Source organism: Homo sapiens, chromosome 3, assembly GCF_000001405.40.
Source record: "Homo sapiens chromosome 3, GRCh38.p14 Primary Assembly".
Taxonomy (NCBI): Eukaryota; Metazoa; Chordata; class Mammalia; order Primates; family Hominidae; genus Homo; species Homo sapiens.
The window spans coordinates 189,457,048-189,478,448 of record NC_000003.12 but is presented as its reverse complement, the minus strand read 5'-3'; the positions used below and the strand labels follow the sequence as shown (position 1 = coordinate 189,478,448).

Genomic DNA, 21,401 nt, shown 5'->3' with positions numbered 1-21,401 from the left:
TGGTCAACAAGAGTGAAACTCCATCTCAAGAAAAAAAGAGAGTGAAGCATTTCAGGTAAATAAAACAGCCATGGACAAAGTCAAGATATCTGGAAATATTTCAGAAATAGCAAATAATTCAGTATGGCTTTCTGTATTTTGTTGTTGTTGTTTGTTTTTGTTTTTCAAAACAAAATACTTTTATGTGGTCCATTGGAGCCTGAATCTGGAAACCACTCACGGAGAATTTTATGTTTATATTACAGGTATATATTACAGGTAAGGGGACAGACAATTGATAAAATCATCTCAGTGTCAGAAGAGCTTGACCATATTTACAGGGTCAAAACTATCCACAGCTCAGAGGAAAAGGAGGCTCAAAGGAGAAAGGGGTTTGTTTCTCTAAGTGTAAAAACCCCATAACCCCTATGGGATGTGAGAGCTGTGGGCTAGCTGGCTTTCTGCACCTGGGGCCTGCAGGCCTGTGGGACTGGCTGAGGTACTCAGAAAGCTGGTCTCAGATGTCCACATGGCAGATGAGGACTCTGCCCCCGACAAGCAACTGAGATAAACACGGGACAGGTAGGTGTACAGCTACCTGGGCTTCTGGAGGGGAGGGGGAGTTGCTGCATCCTCTCTGTATCTATGGTGGTGCTAGGGATCCCTCTCTGCGGCAGGGCCAAGGTCATGGGACGGGGCTGGCCAAGGACTCTTCTGGTCACTGACTTATCTGGCAGCAGTTAAGTGGTGATGAAGACAAAGTACCTTACTAGACAACAGGCTGGGCTCAGCTCCCCAACCTGCCACCTCCTGGTTATGACTTCGATTCTGGCAAGTACTCTAGGAATTGGATAGTGTTTCTGGAGGGAGGGACAGATGGGCAAAGAACCCTCTCTTTCCCTGAGAAAGGCACCCTGAGAAAGGTCATACTGCTCAGATACCAGGGATCCGGGGTATCTGTGGGCTCTAGTTATTGTTTTTGTTTTTGTTTTGTTTTGTTTTGAGGCAGGGTCTCACTGTGTCACCCAGGCTGGAGTGCAGTGGCACAGTCACAGCTCACTGCAGCCTCGACCTTCTCAGGCTCAGGTGATCCTCCCACCTCAGCCTCTCTAGTAGCTGGGACTACAGGTGCATGCCACCACACCCGGCTAATTTTTCTATCTGTTGTAGAGACGGGGTTTCACCATGTTGGCCAGATTGGTCTTGAACTTCTGGACTCAAGTGATCTGCCCATTCCAGTAGGTTTAAAGCTTAGGACTTAGGAAAATGAACCTAGTGGAATAATCTTAAATGGCATACTAAGAATTTGAACTTTGTGTGTTTTTAATAATTTTTAAAATTATTATTCTTGTACGTGCTTTTTCCATGCCAAACATTAGTTACGTATTGCTGCATAGCAAACTACCACACATTTAGTGATTTAAAACAATAAACATTCATTATCTCCTATGTTATCTCATAGTTTCCATAGGTCATGAATCTGGTCATGGCTTATCTGGGGTTTCACGGTTTCACAAAGCCAGATTCAAGATGTTGGCTGGGCAGTGTTCTCAAGTGAAGGCATGACTAGGAAACAATTTACTTCCAAGCTCACTCAGGTAGTTGGCCAGATCTATTTCCTTGTGTTTATAGGGCTGAGTACCCCATTTTTTGTGTTGGCTAGAGGATGGAGATTGCCCATTGCTCCTAGAGGTCCCCACAGTTCATAGTATCATCGTAGCTGCTTATTTTATTAAACCTACAATAACAGTCTGTTGTGCAAGTCCACTAGAAACTTGGAGTTTTATATAATGTAATATAACCATGTCATAGATCACCTCTGCTATATTCTGTTTGTTAGAATAAAGTCACTGTTCCTGCCCAGACTCAAGGGGATGGGATTACCTAAGGGTATGAACAATGAGATCAGGGATCATGGGATTGTCTGTCGCTCATTAATCCTTACCACAAATTCTACATAGCAAGCAAGAAGTGAGACGTGTATTCAAAATGCATTCATTCATGTGTCTCATAGATGAATATTATCAATCATATAAGACACATTATAGCTTTGCATTTAACTCAGTATTCTTGATAATTTGATTAATTTATGCTAAGTTATTTCTATTTTAGTGAGATGGGTGTGTTGTCTAGCTTTTCTACAGTGTGACGCGCTGAGATAAAGCCCAGGTATTTTGTTCCACTTATAACTCTATTCAGAATACCTCTATCAGATAAATATTATCATCCCCATTTTAATGGTGAAGAAATTGAGGTGCAAAAAAGCAATTTTCTTAAGGTCATTCAACTAGTAAATGATGAAGCTAGAAGCCAAATCTAGGTCTGTGTTCTCAACCACTATGCAGACTTTATCTCTAAATCTTATCTTTTTCATTAAGGGAAATGTATGCAATTATACTCTTTAGGATAATTATTTCTGGAATGGTGTTAAAAGGTATTGAATATATGGAAGGCAAGGACTGTGAGGTCCATAAAGGAAGGAACCATGAAGATTTTGCTCACCACCAGCTCCCAGGTGCAACTTGTGGTATGTAAGTTCTCAATAGATAGATACTAAAGGAAGAAGGAAAAGAAAAAAAAGGAGAGGAGTTTTCTGTAGTAGTATGAGTTCTTTAGTAGGACCTGTTATCATAGCTCCTTTGACCAACCTTGGGAAGCAGCGTTTATCAAAATTAAAATCAAATTGCTTTGATTACCAAATAATATGCTCAACTCCTTACTTTACTCCAGAGTAGGTATTTATCATTGCCGCAAACTTCAGTCTTATCCCACCTCTGATATGTGCCCTCAGTGTCATAATCATAAAGGGGATAAAGCTGAAATATTGGTGGGAGGAAAGGAACAGTTAGTTGTATAGGTAAAGACAAATTAAATACCTTTAATAAGCACCAAAGCAAAATAAACGCAAAGAAATCCATCAAAGGAAACATCAAAATTAAATTGCTAAAAACCTAGCATAAAAAGACAAATTTTTAAGCAGCCAGAAGACAAGAGACTTTACATACAAAGCAACAAAGATAAGAATTATCACAGACTGATCTTCAGAAATAATGGAAACTAGAGAACAAAGGAATGGTATCTAAGTGCTGAGTGAAAGAAGGAAAGAAAAAAGGTCAACTTACAATTCTGTATGCACTGAAAATATATTTTTAACTTTCTTATTATTAGAATCCCTGTATCATTGGGACCAATAATGTGTGCTCAGCCGAAAGACTGAACACTTCAGTTTCCATAACAATGTGAATAGGGTTTAGCCAGTGAGATATATGTAAAGTTGTGGACAGGGAGTTCATGAAAGTTTCTATAAAGGAAGCAGGAGAGACAGCTGGGAAATCTACATAGCCCCTCCTTTTTTTTGCTTTTATTTTTTTCAGCCTGCAATGTGAATAGAAGGTGGGAATGGTAGTGACTAGCTTGGATCATGAGATGACCTCGGGGTTTTTTTTTTTTTTTTTTTTAATTATTCCCTAAATTCTACAGTATAATGACCCTAAGTTTAGAAGTAAGATGATAAGAGTCTGGATTACCACGATGGTGAGTATTACCAGCTCTGACTTCAATTCCAAGTTTAATTTTAACTTCTTTTTACATAAAAGAAAGAGAGAGTGAAATAAATTTCTATCTTGCTTAAGCCAATGTTATTTGTGGCTCATGTTATTTGTGGTTAAATTTGATTCTAACTGATTCAAGATAAGACTCAGAGATGGATTGTGTATCGTGTATAGGCTAAGGGTATCTATTTTAATATATACTTGCACATTTTTAAAACAGTGAATATTTTTAATATTTCTAAGCCAGTCAAGTATATATACATCAAAGTAGGTCAATCAAAGCATCTAGAGCAAATGCAGGTGTTTGAAACATCCATTTTTTCTGTTAGACACATGACTCGACCATGTTGTTCAGCCTCCCTTGAAGTTGGTTTGGCTGTGTGATTTCGTTCTGCCCAATGGAAAATGGGCAAAAGTATGTGTACCACTTTCAGAATACCTCATAAACTTCCAACAGATAATCCTATGCTCCCTTTTCCCCCTTTCTAACCAAAAGGAGTGGATTATGAGGACATAGAGCCTAGCAGAGATACAAGATAAAAAGAACCTAGGTTCCTGGATGACAACATAAAAAGTCACCATCCTTGAATTTTATATAATGAAGAAATAAACTTCTATTCTGTTAATCCATTGAAATGTAGGGTTGTTATTAGAATAGTTAGCCTAGCATGACTAATTCAGCTGAATTCAAACAGTAGTGTTTAAAAAGTCAAAATACCATATAACCATCAAATGCTGTACTGGAAAGTCTGAGCCCTGAAACAAATTATCTATATAATCTAGGGGAAATAACTTGATCTCTTATATCTTTACTTTCACCATTGGCAAAATGGTGAGAGTTATTGAAAAAACCCTCTTTTCAGTTTGAATGATTTGTTATGCTAGCTGGAAGCAACTACATTAGCTACTAACAGTATAAGTGGAAATGATGGCCTGAGCAAAGGGCAGCAGCCAACAGGACAGAAAAGAGGTGGTGTACAGAAAGGCCACTGCAAGGGAAGGTTGGCTTATTTTAAACTTCTCTGAAGTGACCTGTTCATGGATTCATTCTCTTTACATTCGTATTGAAAACAAAAAGTCTTCTGGCAGAGAGCTTTCATTTCTCTGGCTGTCTTTTAAAGAAATTCAGGCTATAATTAAAAATGACCATTTATAGTGGGGCTGTTCCTGTAAGTGCTGCAGGTTGCAAACACCAAGGCATCTTTTGGCATATGCATATTCAGGTATATGGTACCATGCAACCTGAAATGAATGTGCATAGACACTCATTTCCTGGTAACTATGGCAAGCCAATTTTGTTTGTTAAATATTGGCAATAGCCAGGGAATTGAAAGAATAGCCACCAAATCCAGAGTACTATCTCTTGTTTTTGATTATATCAAGCAGCCAATAATGTATCATTGCCTTCCGAAGGTGAATATTGGCTTAGAGAGACATTTTACGTAAGGTTTTGCTTGGAACAAAAGTTCCCGAGTAAGGAAAGCAGATAGAAGAGTGATTAATTTCTACGTGTCTAAAATAACAAAAGGGAGGCTTTTGACTTCAGAGGATGAAGACTGTTAGCACTAGTTTAACACAGGGTCAGGGCTAGCAAGCCCCAGGTCACTATGGCTCTGAACCCTTTCTTGATACCCTATTCTGAATTTACATCTTCTGGTTGTGTTCTATCACAACACAAACTCAATATATCTCAGAGTGAACTCCTCGTGTTTTCTATGTTAGTCAGGTTGCACACAACAAAAGAAACTCAACCCAGACTAGTGTAAGACAAAAATGAGAAATAATAGTCTTACAACTGAAAAGTTTAAGTCAGACATTAGGAGCAGATTGGCTTAGGGGAAAATATAATTAAACCTTCCTTTCTTTTAAGTTCTATGTTGGCTTCATTTTAGGCAGACTATATCTTTGTGGAAACAATAATACGTAGGAGCTCCAGGCCTACGTACTATTTCTCAGTAATGTCAACTACAAAAAAACACTTTTAAACATTCATATAATATTATATACAGTGCAATAAATTTAAAAATAAATATCAGAAACATCAGACCCCCCTATATGAACAAACTAAAAAACACATTTCAAGGTAAGTTATGGATCAAATAGTAATTTTAAAAGTATTAAAATTGAATGATAGGTTTCTGTTTTTGGTTAGAATATTGAAACTCAAAACTCTTTAACAGATAGAAGAAGCCATATAAACTACAAAATCATAGTTTTTATGATCTACCAGGAACAAAATAAAGTAAATGAAAATTCTTACTAGAATAAAAGAGAATCATTCCTATTTCCATGCCTCATAGAGTAGCAGAAAGTGAAGGATCTTGTCATAGATAAAGATAAGCATCCTTTGTAGTTTTTAAATTTATTTCTATATGTGCAGCAAAACTCAGAGTACATTATTATTATTATTATTATTTCCTTAAATGGTCAATAGTCATCTGAACAAATATAGATATAAATGATTACATAATAAAAAATGCAGATCTTTCATTTTTTAAAAGATATATATCTTTCTGATGCATTTCATTTCTTCCTGAAGGTGTGGGCTTCCATCTGGTATAGTTACCCTTTCCCTGAAAGAATTTACTTTTATCATTTTTTATAGGGCCAAAATAGTAATAACGATGTATTATATACTTAATTGCATATACTTTATTTACTCAAAAGAGGGTGTGACATTTCACATCCACTAGGAGAGCTAAAATATAAAAGACAAAAATAGTGTGGGTGAGGATGTGGAGAAATTGGAACCCTTACACTCTGCTGGTGGGAATATAAAATGACACAACTATTGAGAAAATCAATCTGGCAGTTCCTCAAAAGGTCAAACATAGAGTTACCATATGACCCAGGAATTCCACTTCTACGTATATATATTCAAGAGAAAAAAAAATATGTCTACATAAAACTTGTACCTGAATGTTCATAGTAACATTATTCATAATAGCCAAAAAGTAGAAGCAACTCAAATGCCTATTAGCTGATGAATTAATAAATAGAATATGGTATAGCTATATGATGAAATATTATTATTCACCTATGAAAAACAAAGTACAAATACATGCTAAAACATAGATGCACTTTGAAATCATTATGCTAAGTTAAATAACCCAGTTACAAAAGACCACATATTTTACAATTCCTTCTTTTTTTTTTTTTTTTTTTTCTGAGATAGAGTTTCACTCTTGTTGCCCAGGCTAGAGTGCAATGGTGCGATCTTGGCTCACTGCAACCTCTGCCTCCTGGGTTCAAGCGATTCTCCTGCCTCAGCCTCCCGAGTGGCTGGGATTACAGACATGCGCCACCATGTCTGGCTAATTTTGTATTTTTAGTAGAGATGGCATTTCTCCATGTTGGTCAGGCTAGTCTTGAACTCCCGACCTCAGGTTATCCGCCCGCCTCAACCTCCCACAGTGCTGAGATTACAGGTGTGAGCCACTGCATTACAATTCCATTTATGTAAAATGTTGGGATTAGGCAAATCTATAGAGGCTGAATGCAGTTTAATGTTTGCTTAGGGATAAGAGTGAGGGGTAAGTGGAAACTGGGGAGTGACTGCTAATGAATTTCTTTTTGGGGTAATAAAAATATTTTAAAATAGATTGTGGTAATAGTTGTACAATTCTGTGATTATATTAAAAGCCATTGCACTATTCACTTTAGGTGGGTAAATTGTATGTAATATGAATTTCAATGATACTGTTTTAGCCGGGCATGGTGGCATGTGCCTATAGTCCCAACTACTCAGGGTCTGAGGTGGGAGGATCACTAGAGCTTGGGAAGCAGAGGTTGCAGTGAGCCAAGATTGCACCACTGCACTCTGGTCTGGGCTACAGAGTAAGACCCTGTTTCAAAAAAATAAAAAAGAAAGAAAGAAAGAAAAAATAAAACTGCCATATTGAAAAACAAACAAAATACCAAAAAAAAAGCATGAAAAAATTAAGATAGAATTAAGAAAAGAGGACCAAGATAGTAGACTTAAAACACAGCTCTGTCAATAGTTACATTAAATATAAAGGATTAAATGCTTCAATTAAAAAGCAAAGATTGTCAGGTTGATTTTTAAAAGTAAGATCCAATTGCTTGCTGTTTACAAGGTTGTAAAGCTATACATTTATCCCAGATGTTTAAAAAATGCAACCCTAATAAAAGAATCCAAATGAATTTTGAAAATAAAATGTGATAAGTTGATACAAGTACATTAAAGAATTAAGATTCTTGAAAAGCTAAGTTTGATATAAAAATAAATATGAGGGCTATACCTTGTCTTTTATGTCATTTATTTAAAGATACAAGAACAGTGTGTCAACATTGGCAAATTAGCACAGTTCCGGGAAAAACTTCATTTGAAAAAGTCTGCTGGGGTAGAGATTAGGGACTTTTTCTTTGCTAAATTTGATAAAAGAGAACAAATTTAGAAGGAGAATGTAAGAACCATCTTCCTTCCTTTTTTTTTTTTACATTGAACATTTAAGTAATGTAGTGGCAGTCATGTTGCAACCATTAGACGATAAGCTAGAGGAGGAAAAGATAATATACTTAGGATAATTCAGCAGAAAGATAGCTGGGCCTAATTTTCTTGATTACATTAATGATCTGCAAAACCAATGCTAGCACCTATCTAACTCCACACTTCTTATGTGAGAAAACTAAATCTGAATTATGTAATCACTGTTTTCAAGTGTTCTTTTGATTGCCATCATAACTATTTTTATCTATTCTAATTTCTAGAGTGAGAAATTCAAATTAAACAACAGTAACTTTCAATTCTCCTACCATCTTATTGACAAGATTATAACCCAAAAAGGAGAAACAGAGGGCAAAGAGATTCTCATGCTGTGTGTGTGGGTTTGCAAATTGGCACAACTGCTTTGGAGAACAAGTTAATAACATTTAATAACACAGTCATGTATATCTTACACCACAGAACGTAACTTTTAATTACCTAAAGAAACATTCTCATTTTATACAAGGACATATGCAAAATAATGTTTATTGCAGCATTGCTCTCATGAGTGAATAACTGGAAACCTTCTGTATCTGCCAATTAAATAAATGTTCAAATAAATTGTTGTATAATCCTACAGTATGATAGTATTCAACAGTTAAAACGAATAAACTAGACCAATGTGTTAGCATGGATATATCTTGAAGACATAATTTTGAGCAAAAAGTGATATATAGGAGGATGTACCGAGAAAGATGCTATTCAGGTAAATTTTTAAAGCACACAAATATCATATATTGTTTATGGACACACACGTTGCATTGAACTGCTAGTTGTTTCCCTAAATTCATTCTACCTTTTACAGAGCAAAAAGAGTTTTAGCTAGACATGGCCACCAAGTAGACAATATATTTTCCTATCTTGACTATTTAGGACCTCAAAGACCTTTTACTAATGTTGGAATATCTATTGATATTTACCGTATTCAACATTACAATAGTGATATTAAAATATGTATTTATTTAATTTTTAAAACTATAATAAACTTTTATATTAGCATATCATTTTATCAAAAATAACTAAAAATTTATTGAAATAGTGACATTGTTTATATTTTCACAAATTTTTAAATGTCTTACTTTAAGACAAGTGAAGTCTAATATTTGTTTCTTCAATCTATAGCAATGTTATTTTTGTTGAAGGATATGAAGAAAATTTGGCCTCACACAGATGTATAGTTGGAAAAAGGAAGGGGATGCAGACAGGACCTCGAAGCTCTCACATTGTATTCACAAAACCACTGCCTTAGGAGATTGTAAAACAACAGAATCTCATGAGTCAAAGTAGATTACCCACCCTGGACTTTCTACCTCCCTATGAACTGTTATTTGAGAAAGAAATAAACTCAAATTTACTTTGAGCCATTGTGTTTTGTTAATGTTAATGTATATGTTAGAGAAGTTTAGTTAATACCCTATGTTATACACAGATACATAAGCAAAGTGTAAAATATGATCTGAAACTGTATACACACACTGCAAAGTGTAATTGAGAAAGGCACTACAATGTAATGAATGTTTGTGTCTCCCCAAAACCCCTATGTTGAAACCCTAATCCCAAGGTGATGGTACTAGGTGGAGGGGGCTTTTCAGAGGTAATTAGCTTATGAGTATGAAGCTTTCGTGAATGAGGTTAGTGTCTTTTACGAAGAGGCTGGGGAGCTAACTAGCGTTCTTTCTGCTATGTGAAGATACATGGGAAGTTTGCAGCCTGCAACCTCAAAGAGAGCCTTCACCAGAACTCGAGCATGCTGGCACCCTATTCTCAGATCCACAGCCTCCAGAAACATGAGAAATAAATTTCTACTTTTGTAAGTTACCCATGTTATGCTACTTTACTATAGTAGACCAAACTGACTAAGATAGGTACAAAGGGACTTTGAATGTATCTGTAATATTTTATTTGTTCTAAAAAGACATTTGAAGAAAATATGTTAATCAGCCTTTGTTAAATATGTATAGTGGGTGTTGTGATTATTATGTTATTTTTATGTGTTTGAAATTGTTTTATAACAAAATGAATGTATTGTTAAAGCGTCTGAATCTGTACTTACTGCCTTTGTTATTATGCTCTCAAAGAGCAGAAGGGAATGTCTCAAGTTTTTTTACAAACACTAGTTCATTGAACTTTATTAAATATGTAATTCCAAAGTTCTATATGGATTTTAAAGAAAATTAATTAAGGAAAGGAAAATGAAATACGTATGCATAAATAAATGCATAGGAAGTCTTATATACAATTATGTTTAAGTTTTATTAGGGAAGAAGCATTTTTCGCTAGGGTTGTCATATTAACATATATTTTTATGGCATTACTAATTTAATTTTATATCACTTTTTAATTTAAATATTTCAAAGTAATTAAAATTAATAGTAACAATTTACATATTATATGCATTTAAACTGGAAATTGCTTTAACATCCATTACTGTCCGTAATACCAACAATAACCCTGCTAATTAGGGAAGACAAGAATTATTAATATAATGTTACTGTGAAGCTGAGACCTAGAGAAGTTAAGCAATACACCCAAGGCCACATAGCAAGTTATTTTCTCCTTTTAGATCTCAAATCAATTTTTGAATTTAAGGAGCTTAATGCTCAAGCTCCTTCATTTGAGATTTCCTAATACTTTCTCCTCATTTTCTATGGGGCAGAGCAGGGTTGTGTGCCACTTCACACCAATCAGGGGTAAAAAGGAAAGGCACAGCATAAGCCTAAGCCTTAAAGTAATCAAGGTCTACCCCCTGAGACTGTTGAAGGTTGAGCAACCACCTTTTCTGAGCACGTTGCTATCTCAAACCAAACCCAAACCAAATTACGTTAACAGAAAGGAAATGGAAATGATTACTGAGTGGGCAATCTAACAGTCTCTTCAGCAGCAGCCATTATATGCTTCTATTTCATTGAAACCCTTCCTTTGTACTACATGGTGAAGGCAGAAAATAAGGACTCTATGTTACAGATGCTGCCCTCTAAACACATTAATGAGGAGAGAACACTCACAGTTCACTCAACTCCTTGAATGTCATTCAACTTTCTTCAGCTCCTTTGAACACACTCCAGTTTATGTGTATATTTGTAGATAATATACATTTGTATTTTATATATATATGTGGCTATATACACACACACACACACACACACACACACACACACATATAATACTTGTACAGCTAGGATTTTGGATAAAAATGTGCAACATTGGCCGGGCGCTGTGCTCACGCCTATAATCCCAGTACTTCGGGAGGCCGAGGCGGGCGGATCACGAGGTCAGGAGTTCGAGACCAGCCTAGCCAATATGGTGAAACTCCGTCTCTACTAAAAATACAAAAATTAGTTGGGCATGGTGGTGCGTGCCTGTAGTCCGAGCTACTCGGGAGGCTGAGGCAGAAGAATCGCTTGAACCCAGGAGGCAGAGGTTGCAGTGAGCCGAGATCGCACCATACACTCCAGCCTGGGCGACAAAGCGAGACTCCGTCTCAAAAAAAAAGAAAAAGAAAAAATGTGCAACATTACACTTATTTAACTCAGGTAAATTGTATCTTCTTGTCTGTAAATTATTTGAGGGCAGAAATTTAGTCTATTTTCTTCATCATATTTTTCCTGAAGCCTAAACCAGTGTTGCATGTAATATGCATCCAACATGCCTTCTAAATGTTTAAATCTTAATTCATACCATTCTTTATCATATATTAGATCTCCCTCTTGTCTCCACTGAAACTCCTCCGTCTAGAGCGGAAGTCTGCTGTTTCATAAAGTGTTAAAGCCAGTACAGAAGTTATCTATGAGTTATTTTGTGCCAGGCAGTCCTCTAGGTGTTTTATTTATATTCTATGTGTATTTTGCCTAGTAGTAACTAATCAGAATAATCATCCATAAAAGCAGGAGCAATGCCCAAGCTGGAAGTCATTAAACCAGTATATTCATTGCTTCCTCAAACTTGGAGCCAACAATCAATGAGAGAGAAGAAACAAAACAAAACACCTTACCAAAAAATCCTGCATATTTGTGACTGTCATAATGACCAGATAGCACAGAAGAGATAGAAGTATTATTGAGCATCAATCCATAAACTCTGGAACCCAATCCTTAACCTAGTGATTAGTGTCCAGAGAATTCCCTGGGCCAGACAGAGTTACCTCACACTGGACATGACACCCATGGCTGTGGAAAGTCCCCTGAAGTCACTGGAACATACACAGGAGCGTGTGTACATGGATATAAATATAAAATGCTTCACTCACCTCAGCCCCCAAATCTGACCTTATTTGTCAGTGCTACCTTGGCTAGGTCTGGAGGGGAAGGAAAGAACATTTTGACCAGCTGATGCTGTGACAGATGCTGGAGAGGCACATGTGCTCAGATGTAGAGGTAGCTGGCATGCTGTGCGTGCATCTTTACCCTTGCTGCCCTCAGAGCCCCACTGACAGATGAAAGATACTGCCTCCTATGTCCTTTCTCCAGGAAGTTCAATGCTTCCTATTATTTGTTTGTTTTTCTCTAGCATAATTGTTCCTTGTGATAATAACATGATCTCAATAACATGATAAATGAAACCTAGGAAAAAAATTCATGTTCTCTACCACCTGGTATAACCATTTTGGAACTTCAAAAATATCCCTTGTAGTATTTTCCCTATGCTTTAAAAAATCTAACTGTGTTTTATCTGTAGCCTTTGTTCTGGATACAAAACAACAATACTGACAAGTGCCTATGCTATATCTAGGGTGATCATGTAGTGTTTGCAATAATATAGGACAATTTTATCAGTAAAAGGGGAGCTAAAAATAATTATAAATGTTTTTGAAATGTTTATATAATTACCATAAATTAGCTATATTGTATTGACGTGCCTAAAAATAGAGCTTTCAATGATTAGTGATGTTCAGAATTTTTTCATATACCTGTTGCTCATTTGTATGTCTTCTTTTGAGAAATGTCTATTCAGGTTGTTTGTCCATTTTTTAATTGCTTTCTTTTTGCTATTGAGTTCTTTATATATTTTGGATGTAAATATATTTTCAAAACTAAAAGTCATTCTAAAATTTAAAGTAGCATATATATATATATATAAAAACACATACATATGTGGGGAAAAGAACTTTATATTAATTATCTGAAGTGAATCACTTAACTGAATGACTATTTGAATATGTTCACAAACTTTACTAATTTTGTTAGTTTCATCTATTTTTAATACCATAGCACTGGAATGCCATTCTTTTTTGAAGAATGTATTTTTTTCTGTGATCTTATCATTTTAATTTTTTCAACTGTCTGAAATATTTCTTCAAAGTTGCATTCTACAATTAATTTGAAATATCTGAAATTTTCCATTTAATTGTCATTATAGACATTATTGAGAAAATACTCTATAGCAGCTGAAAAATGTGATAAGCTCAGTGAAAAATTCGCTAACTCGGGGATATTCTCTATTCTATTTCCTATAAAATATATAGTTATTTCAGCCCACATAACTTCACAGATACTGTATTTTGCCTCTATTTAAAATACTTTTCTTCAACAAATATTTTTAAAAATAAAAACCCATCAAATAACTTGTCCCTTTTTAAAATTCATTTACAAGTTTCACCAAATTTACATACTACAAAATAAAAAGTGTTATCTATTTCATTCTAAAATGGAATGCACATTTATCTAATGTAAGTAGGCCTATTTCCACAAGTTTATATATTCCAAAGCACAACTAAATAATTTTAATATTTAATCTTTTACACAGATTAACTTTCACCATTTAATTTGTTTTGTTCTCTTGCTTTTATAAAGGTGCATTTCAACATCTTTTTATTTGTATGCTTTATTTAAAAAAATACTTGTCTAAAAGTTTCTTTTTAAATTTTATTTCATTCATTGATAGATAAAATTATATGTATTTACTGTGTACAACATAATATTTTGAAGTACACATATGTTGTGGAATGACTAAATCTGGCACATAGTTATTTCGTGGTGAGAAAACTTGACATCTATTCTTCTCAGCATTTTACAAGAATACAATATCTCATTAACTACAGTCACCATGCTGTAAAATAGTTCTCTTGAACTTATTTCTTCTGTCTAAATGAAGTTTTGCATCTTTTAATCAACATCTCCCTAACCATCTCAGCTCCTGGTAACCAACATGCTACTTTCTACTTCAATAGAATTTTCTCATTGTGGTGTTAATTTGCATCCCCGTTACTGATGTTGGTAATTTTTTTCATATACCTGTTGCCCATTAGTATATCTTCCTTTAAGAAATGTCTATTCAGTTTCTTTGCCAATTTTCAACTGAGTTGTTTTCTTGCTGTTGAATTTTTTATGTATTTTGGATGTAAATTTCTTAACAACTATACAGTTTGCAAATATTCTCCCCCATTCTATAGGCTGTCTCTTCCCTCTATTGATTGTTTCTTTTCTCCAGGGGCTCCTTAGTTTGATGTTATCCCATTTGTCTATTTTTTTGCTTTTATTGCCTGTGATTTTGGGGGCATATCCAAAAAGTCATTGCTGAGACCTATGTCAAGGAGTTTTTTTCACACTTCTAGTAGCGTCATAATTTTGAGTCTATATTTAAGACTGCAATCTAGTTTGAGTTGATTTTTCAGTATGGTGAGAGATATGGGTCTAATTTAACTCTTTTACATATGGATATCCAGTTTTCCTAGCACTACTTATTGAAGAAACTGTACTTTCCTCATTGTTTGTTCTTGGCCCCTTTAACAAAAATCACCTGGCTGCATTTCTTAATGGACTCTCTATTCTTTTCCATTGCTCTATGTGTTCATTTTTATGCCAATATCATGCTGTTTTGGCTACTATAGTTTTGCTGTATATTTTTAAGTCAGATAGTGTAATGACTTGAGCTTTGCTCTTTTTGCTCAGTAATGCCTTTACTATTTAGGCCCTTTTGTGGTTTTGTATATATTTTAGGATTTTTCTTTTAATTTCTGTGAAGACCATCACTGATATTTTAATACTGATTGCATTGAATCTGTAGATCACTTTGGGTAGTAAGAACATTTTAATAATATTAATTCTTCTGATCCATGAGTATGGGCTACTTTCCATTTTTTCTGTGTGTCTTCAATTTCTTTTATCAGTAGCTTAGTTTTTAGTTTAGAGATTGCTTACTACTTTGGGTAAATATATTCCCAGGTATTTTTGTAGCTATTAATATGGTATTGCTTTCTTGATACACATTTTGAATTTTTGATGTGAATTTAAATCATATTGTGTATTTTAAACAAATTATTTTAGCCATTATTTCTAATATCTTTGTCTTTTAACCTTTATATTGAAGATATAAGTTATTTACTCAACACCATTCAAGTATTAGAGCATTCTGCTTTTGCCTGCGTACTTAATTTTTCCAGGTAGTTTTACACTTTCAGATGTTTCAGTTTTACTCAGTAGTGTCTTTTTCTTTGATTCTGAAGAACTCTCTTTAGCATTTCTTTTATAAGAGGTCTGGTGGTTACGAATTATCTTGTTTTTTAATTGTCTAGTAAAATCTTTATCTCTTCTTCATTTCTAAAAGACAGCTTTTGCTGTCTTTTTGGTTGTCAGTGTTCTTGGTTGTTAGTTTTCTTCCTTCAGCACTTTGAATATGACATCCCATGCTCTCCTGGCCTGTAAGGTTTATGCTGAGAAGTCTGCTGCTAGCTGTAGTAGAATTCTATTACATGTTATTTGCTTCTTTTCTCTTGCTGTTTCCAGGATCCTTTCTTTGTCTTTGTTCTTTGACTCTTTAATTACAATATGCCTCGGGGTAGTTTTCTTCACATTGAATCTGATTGGAGACCTTAGACCTTCCTATATCTGGATATTTACATACTTTTTTCAGGTTTGGAAAGTTTGCTGTTACAATTTCTTTAAATAAGCTTTATATCCCTTTATCTTCTCTTCTCCTTAACTCCTATGATTAAAAAATTTCTTTTTTGATAATGTTTCATAAATTACGTAAGCTTTCTTTTTTTAATTCTTTTTTCTCCTCTGATTATATATTTTCAAATAACTTGACTTCAAGCTCACAGATTCCTTCTTCTGCTCAGTCAGTTCTACTATTGATATATTTTTAATTTTGTTTATTGTAGTTTTTAGCTGTAGGATTTCATCTTACTATTACTATAATTATTATTTCAATATTTTTATTAAATTCTAATTCTGGTTATGTATAGTTTTTCTCATTTCATTGAGTTGTTTCTCTATATTTTCCTGAAGTGAGCTGAGTTTCTTAAAATGTTTATCTTGAATTCTTTGTCAGGCATTTAATATATCTTTATTTCCTTAGGATTAGTTACTGGCACCTTATTTTGTCCATTTGGTGATATTATGTTTTTCTGATTATTCTTGATCCTTGTGGTTGTATATCAGTGTTTGCACATTTGAATAAATAGGTAATTATTACTGTCTTCACAGACTGGCTTTGTCTTGGAAAATCCTGTGGCTGGCATGGTGACGGGGCCCACCAGAAACACAGGGCAATTGTGGCTGGTGCAGTGCTGTCAAAATCCTGGAGCCTGCTGTGGCAGGTAAGGCACTGGAGCAGGATAGAAGCTGAGACAGATGTGCAGCCTGTGTGGCCCGGGGGCACACAAGAAATCTGGGGCAGCTGCAGCTGGGGTGGCACTGCCAGAAGCCTGGGGCCCACTATGGTAGGCACAGAGCTGGGACAGACTAGAAGCCTGGGTCCACTGATATTGGCAAAGTGGTAGTGTGGACCAAATACTGAGTTCACCAAGCAAGCCTTAAGCATGGGGCTGTGTGGTCCCATCTAGCACTGGGGCAGGCCTAAAGGCCCAGTCTATAGGTACCAGCCTGGAATAAGACCAGGAAGATCTGCCTAGTGCTGGGTGGGCCCAGTTTTTGGGTCCAATGCAAAGTTCTCTGCTCACTTTCTTCTCTTTCCTTCAAATTGACAGTATCTCTCTCCATGTTGTGCTGCCTGGGTTTGGAGGTAATGCAGGTGATGTAAACTTGTTTTCCTACCATCTTCAATGAGTCTTTTCTAATTATTGTGCTACAACCAAATACTATAAACTCTCACCTGGTTTCCTCAGCTCTTACAAAGGTATTTTCATGCATGAATTATTGTTCAAATTGATGTTCCTACAAGGGGACAACTGTTGGAGAGTCCTACTCTGCCATCTTGCTCTATATACCGTCTCTAAAATTCTCAGTGCTGAAGTTTTCTTCACTTCATTCACTGAACACATAGATTAAAAATTTTCAACTAATTTTGAATTAAATACAAGCACAATGTATAGGACTCATTTATGAAAGTTTAATGCCATTGTAGGACACTTACTTAAAGGACACTTTAGGTTTACTTAAAGAATAGTCTCAAAATTCAGAATATTTTAAAAGTCAATGAGTGACAAGCAGAGCAAAGATAAAAAGCTCATATTTCCATGCTACTGTATTTTTTATACTTAATGTCAGCATCTTCACAAAATTTTCTGTGAAAAAAAAGATACCTCTGTTTAAACATCATTAGACAAGTGAGCTATGTATGCCTTTTTTTCCATTGTAAGCAAGAGTATAATAAATGCATTTGTATCACCTCTGACACATCTATCTTCACAGGCCATCTGATCTCATTGTTTCTGCACACTCTTGGAAACAGCACGAGGTTAAAGGCTGGAGTCTTTAGTGCTTTGTGTTCCAGGATGCCAAGAATATGAGTGCAGGCCATCATCCTAATTGTCTTTGATGCTTAGTTGGGTATCTCTAAAGTGATCTTTACATCTCTTTGCAAGCAACAATATAGTTTGTCACCAATATGGAGAAGAGAAGCATGGTATCTGATCTTGGTTTCTCCTCTTCCTCTCGTAATCACTGGGACTGGCAGAAATGGGCTTTCTCCTCTCTCTCTTTCTATATGATCATTATTTGCCTTAAACAAAATGTTATGACCAAGTCATTCAGGCTTTCAAGTTAAAGGAGGAGATTAGGGATTTTAGACAGGCTTTCAAGTTAAAGGAGGAGATTAGGGATTTTAGAAGACATTTCTCTCTCTTAATGAGCCTTGCTTTAAATTTAATTATCTTCCTGTGCACATAAAATTCCTATTTTGTTTGCCAAAAACTGAGTACTATCTTTTTCACTCTGCCTTCATGTTATTACAATTCTATTTTCCCTCTGAACTTCCCTGCCCTGCATCCTCAGAAAGAGTAGATAGATGCTTCAGGCTGACTTGGATGAAAATCAGATACATGGAAACACAAAAGAGACAAGCATATTTATATATTTCCAAAATTATTACCCCACCTTACTATACATTACTAAAGAAATAATTAGTGGTTCAGAAGTGTGCATGTACAAACACTGTCATCTGATAATATTGACAAATTAAATTACAAAAGAATTTTCTATTGCTACAAATTATATATGAGAGCTCCAGCTTCACTGAATCCTTGTAAGGATTATCATTTTGAAAATGTTTACTAACTTCCCAATCAAAGGATAATCAAGGAATAACATTTAGATTTTCTTCATTTTATTTTTTCTCCTAACCTTTCTAATTCTGCAAGAGAGTAAGCTTGTACTCATAAGAAATACAATATAAGAATCTGATGTAGGGATGTAACATCACAAGGTATCAAGCACAGTCAGTACTGTCAACTTATTATTATTGAGATCAACAGTTTTCCAATTTCACTTTTATTTCAAAGCAGGATTTGGTTGTTGGGACTACTACCCTAGTTATTTAGTAATGCAATTATTTTTGAGATTGGCTTAGCTTTTTCAGATTTCCAAAATAGTTGCTGTTTTACATATATGATTTTAATTTTCCATGAATGCTATAAAATGTTATTAATTCCATTTTACAGCCAAAGTGAGACCCAGAGGTGCTAAGTGATTTGCTTGAAGTGTTTGGAAAGTACAGAGCAGTGTAGTAGAAGGTCAGTCTGCATTGGAATTCCGAGTCTACTACTGACTGGTTTTGTGATTTCAGTGAATTTCTTAACCTCCTCAAGCTGCTTCCTTATCTGCCCATCGAAATTTGCAAAGTTCACTTCAGGGTTGTAATAGGAAACAAATATAAGGAAATTTTCATTCAGACCTAAAAGGTAACAGCAAATAAATGAATGATTATTCTCATTGAATAACAGTGCTGTGTTCTTTCTCTTCTATTCCACTGTTTAATTTTCTTTTGAATATATCTTTTTAAATATAGAACAACCACTTACTATTTTACATATTATTGTGTCAAGGATGAGCAGAGATAAAGAGAAATTGAACCAAAAGGAATTTTACATGTGAATTTACCTTACAAAATGAAAGAATCATAAAATGCAAGAACTGCATTAACAGTACATATTTATGACCTACAGAAAAACAGGTGTGCAAGAGAAAAGGAATGGCACAGAGCTTCACAGACAGTAAATTACAGATCCGTATTTCTCTTAGAGTCCTGGACTCTGCAATCAGATCCAGGATTTTTAACAAAATGTGCATTTTATCCTTCTCAAATTGGGCAAGAAGAACCATAGATTTTACCAACGAGAAATGAGGAGCCCTGCCAAAATCCCAGCCGACCCTGCACACTTACTGGGAACGTACTGAGTGCCAGGGCTTGTGCCAAGTGCTCTGGGGGATAGAGTTGAGTAAGTCATGGTCATCGCTCATTCATTTAGTGGAAAAAGCAGGCACACACACAAGTAACTTGATTCCAAGGCAGACCGCGATAAGTGTTATCTTAGATCACTGGAGGAGACAGGTCACACGACTGGAATAGCATGAAGTCAGGCCTGAGGCTGAGGGCATGCTGTTATTTAGGAACCCTATCAGGTTCATCTCACAGCTTGGCAGTGGTCCAAAAACCCTGTAGTTTCTTGTCCTGGGTGTGCTGGGTCATAGGATGCTTCCATCCACCTATCCTCGAATCTACTGTGAAGGCTGCTGGAGTCTGAGAATGTGTAAAGACAGATGAGACAGAGAGATTTGTTTCCCTTCTTAACATACATTATACAATTTTTAAAATACATTGACCTAGAATGACTAGTACTATAGAAAAACGGCCTGCCAAAGATTCCCTCTTTTCTTTCCTTGCATGTCATGGAATGTCCACAGTTTTTTATCCATTCAGGAAGTGAACAGAACCAAAAATGCTATATTTGTTTATTTTTCCAGGATAATTCTTATCAAATTCAGCTTTGCCCAAGCTGTTTGCTTGTCTGAAGCCCAACAAGAACTGTGAGGTGCTAGAGAACACAGTCCTTCTGATCCAGCTCTGTCTCAGAAACTTTACAAAATTAAATACTCAATCAACTTCAGTTGTATTATTTTTAACCTTCTGCTATTTTTAAGTAGTTTCCCATTTTCCAACTTGCTGGTAACTTTCCCAAAATGCCCTCAAACTTAGAGCTAAAAGTAAAACCGAAGAAATGAGACATATCTTGACTAATATTATATCATGTTAAATTGATTGCAAAAAAGTAGGGTGAAGCGAGGAATTCACTTAAATGAAAAAGGAAAGAACACTTGACTGGAAGCCCAGCAGTCTGGGCTTTGCTCCGGGCTCCGTATAACATCTGGGCGAGCTGTTTCCCTCCCTGAGTCCCAAGGTCCCCAACCGTCTAGCAGGAGGGTTGAATAGATTTATTGTCAAGACTTCGTTTTCAGTGACCTGTCATCTACATTATGGTTATTCTTTATACTATCTACAACAATAATAATAATGGTATAATAATTTATAACTTACAAAGCATCGGTAGTTGCATCACTCTCTAGTAAATATGTATGAAACTATGCTTTCAGCACTACAATTTTATAATTAGAACCTGATTACATTTAAGAGGGGGCAAAGTGAAGTTGAGGGGGCCCCCACTCCAGGCCCTCTCTGCGGTGGAGTTGACCTCTGGGACTTACTATGGCCTAGATCAGATTCCTGTGGTCACACTCAGATCCAAACCAACTGTTGGAGCTTTGTAACGGACTACTCACTAGTGCTAATGAATCCAAGAAACCCACGAATTTGTGCTTCTATATTTGCAGGCCAGGTCTACCAACCAGAGAGTCAGGAAGGCTTTAGGCAGACAAGCCCTTCCTCTTTACTCACTCTTCACTGCCTACCTCTAATGCACACGTAACAGCTTCAGTAACCACCTAACGGTGATGATCACCAACTTAGGAATTTTTAACCAGAACTGGGATTTCCGTTTGTAGCTTCCTTTTCTAACCAGCTAATCAACATCCCCGCTGTGTTCTGGAAGATCAGTTTGACCCACACCAATGAAATCACTTTCCATCATAAAATACTTCCTCCATACCTCCCTGGCTTTCCCAACTCTGCCAACATTTGCCTTGTTAACTTGGCTCAAAAATTCCAGCTCATCTCTGATTTCTTTTCTTGGA

At 35.7% G+C, this 21,401-nt stretch overlaps 1 long non-coding RNA gene across 1 annotated transcript; it reads left to right on the top strand.

Moving 5' to 3' along the window:
- Positions 1-256: 256 nt before the first annotated feature.
- LOC105374270 (uncharacterized) lies at positions 257-16,547 on the top strand. Its single transcript, XR_924819.3, has 3 exons — positions 257-561; positions 9,728-9,847; positions 16,461-16,547. It is a non-coding gene; the product is annotated as an uncharacterized LOC105374270 (long non-coding RNA).
- Positions 16,548-21,401: the final 4,854 nt, after the last annotated feature.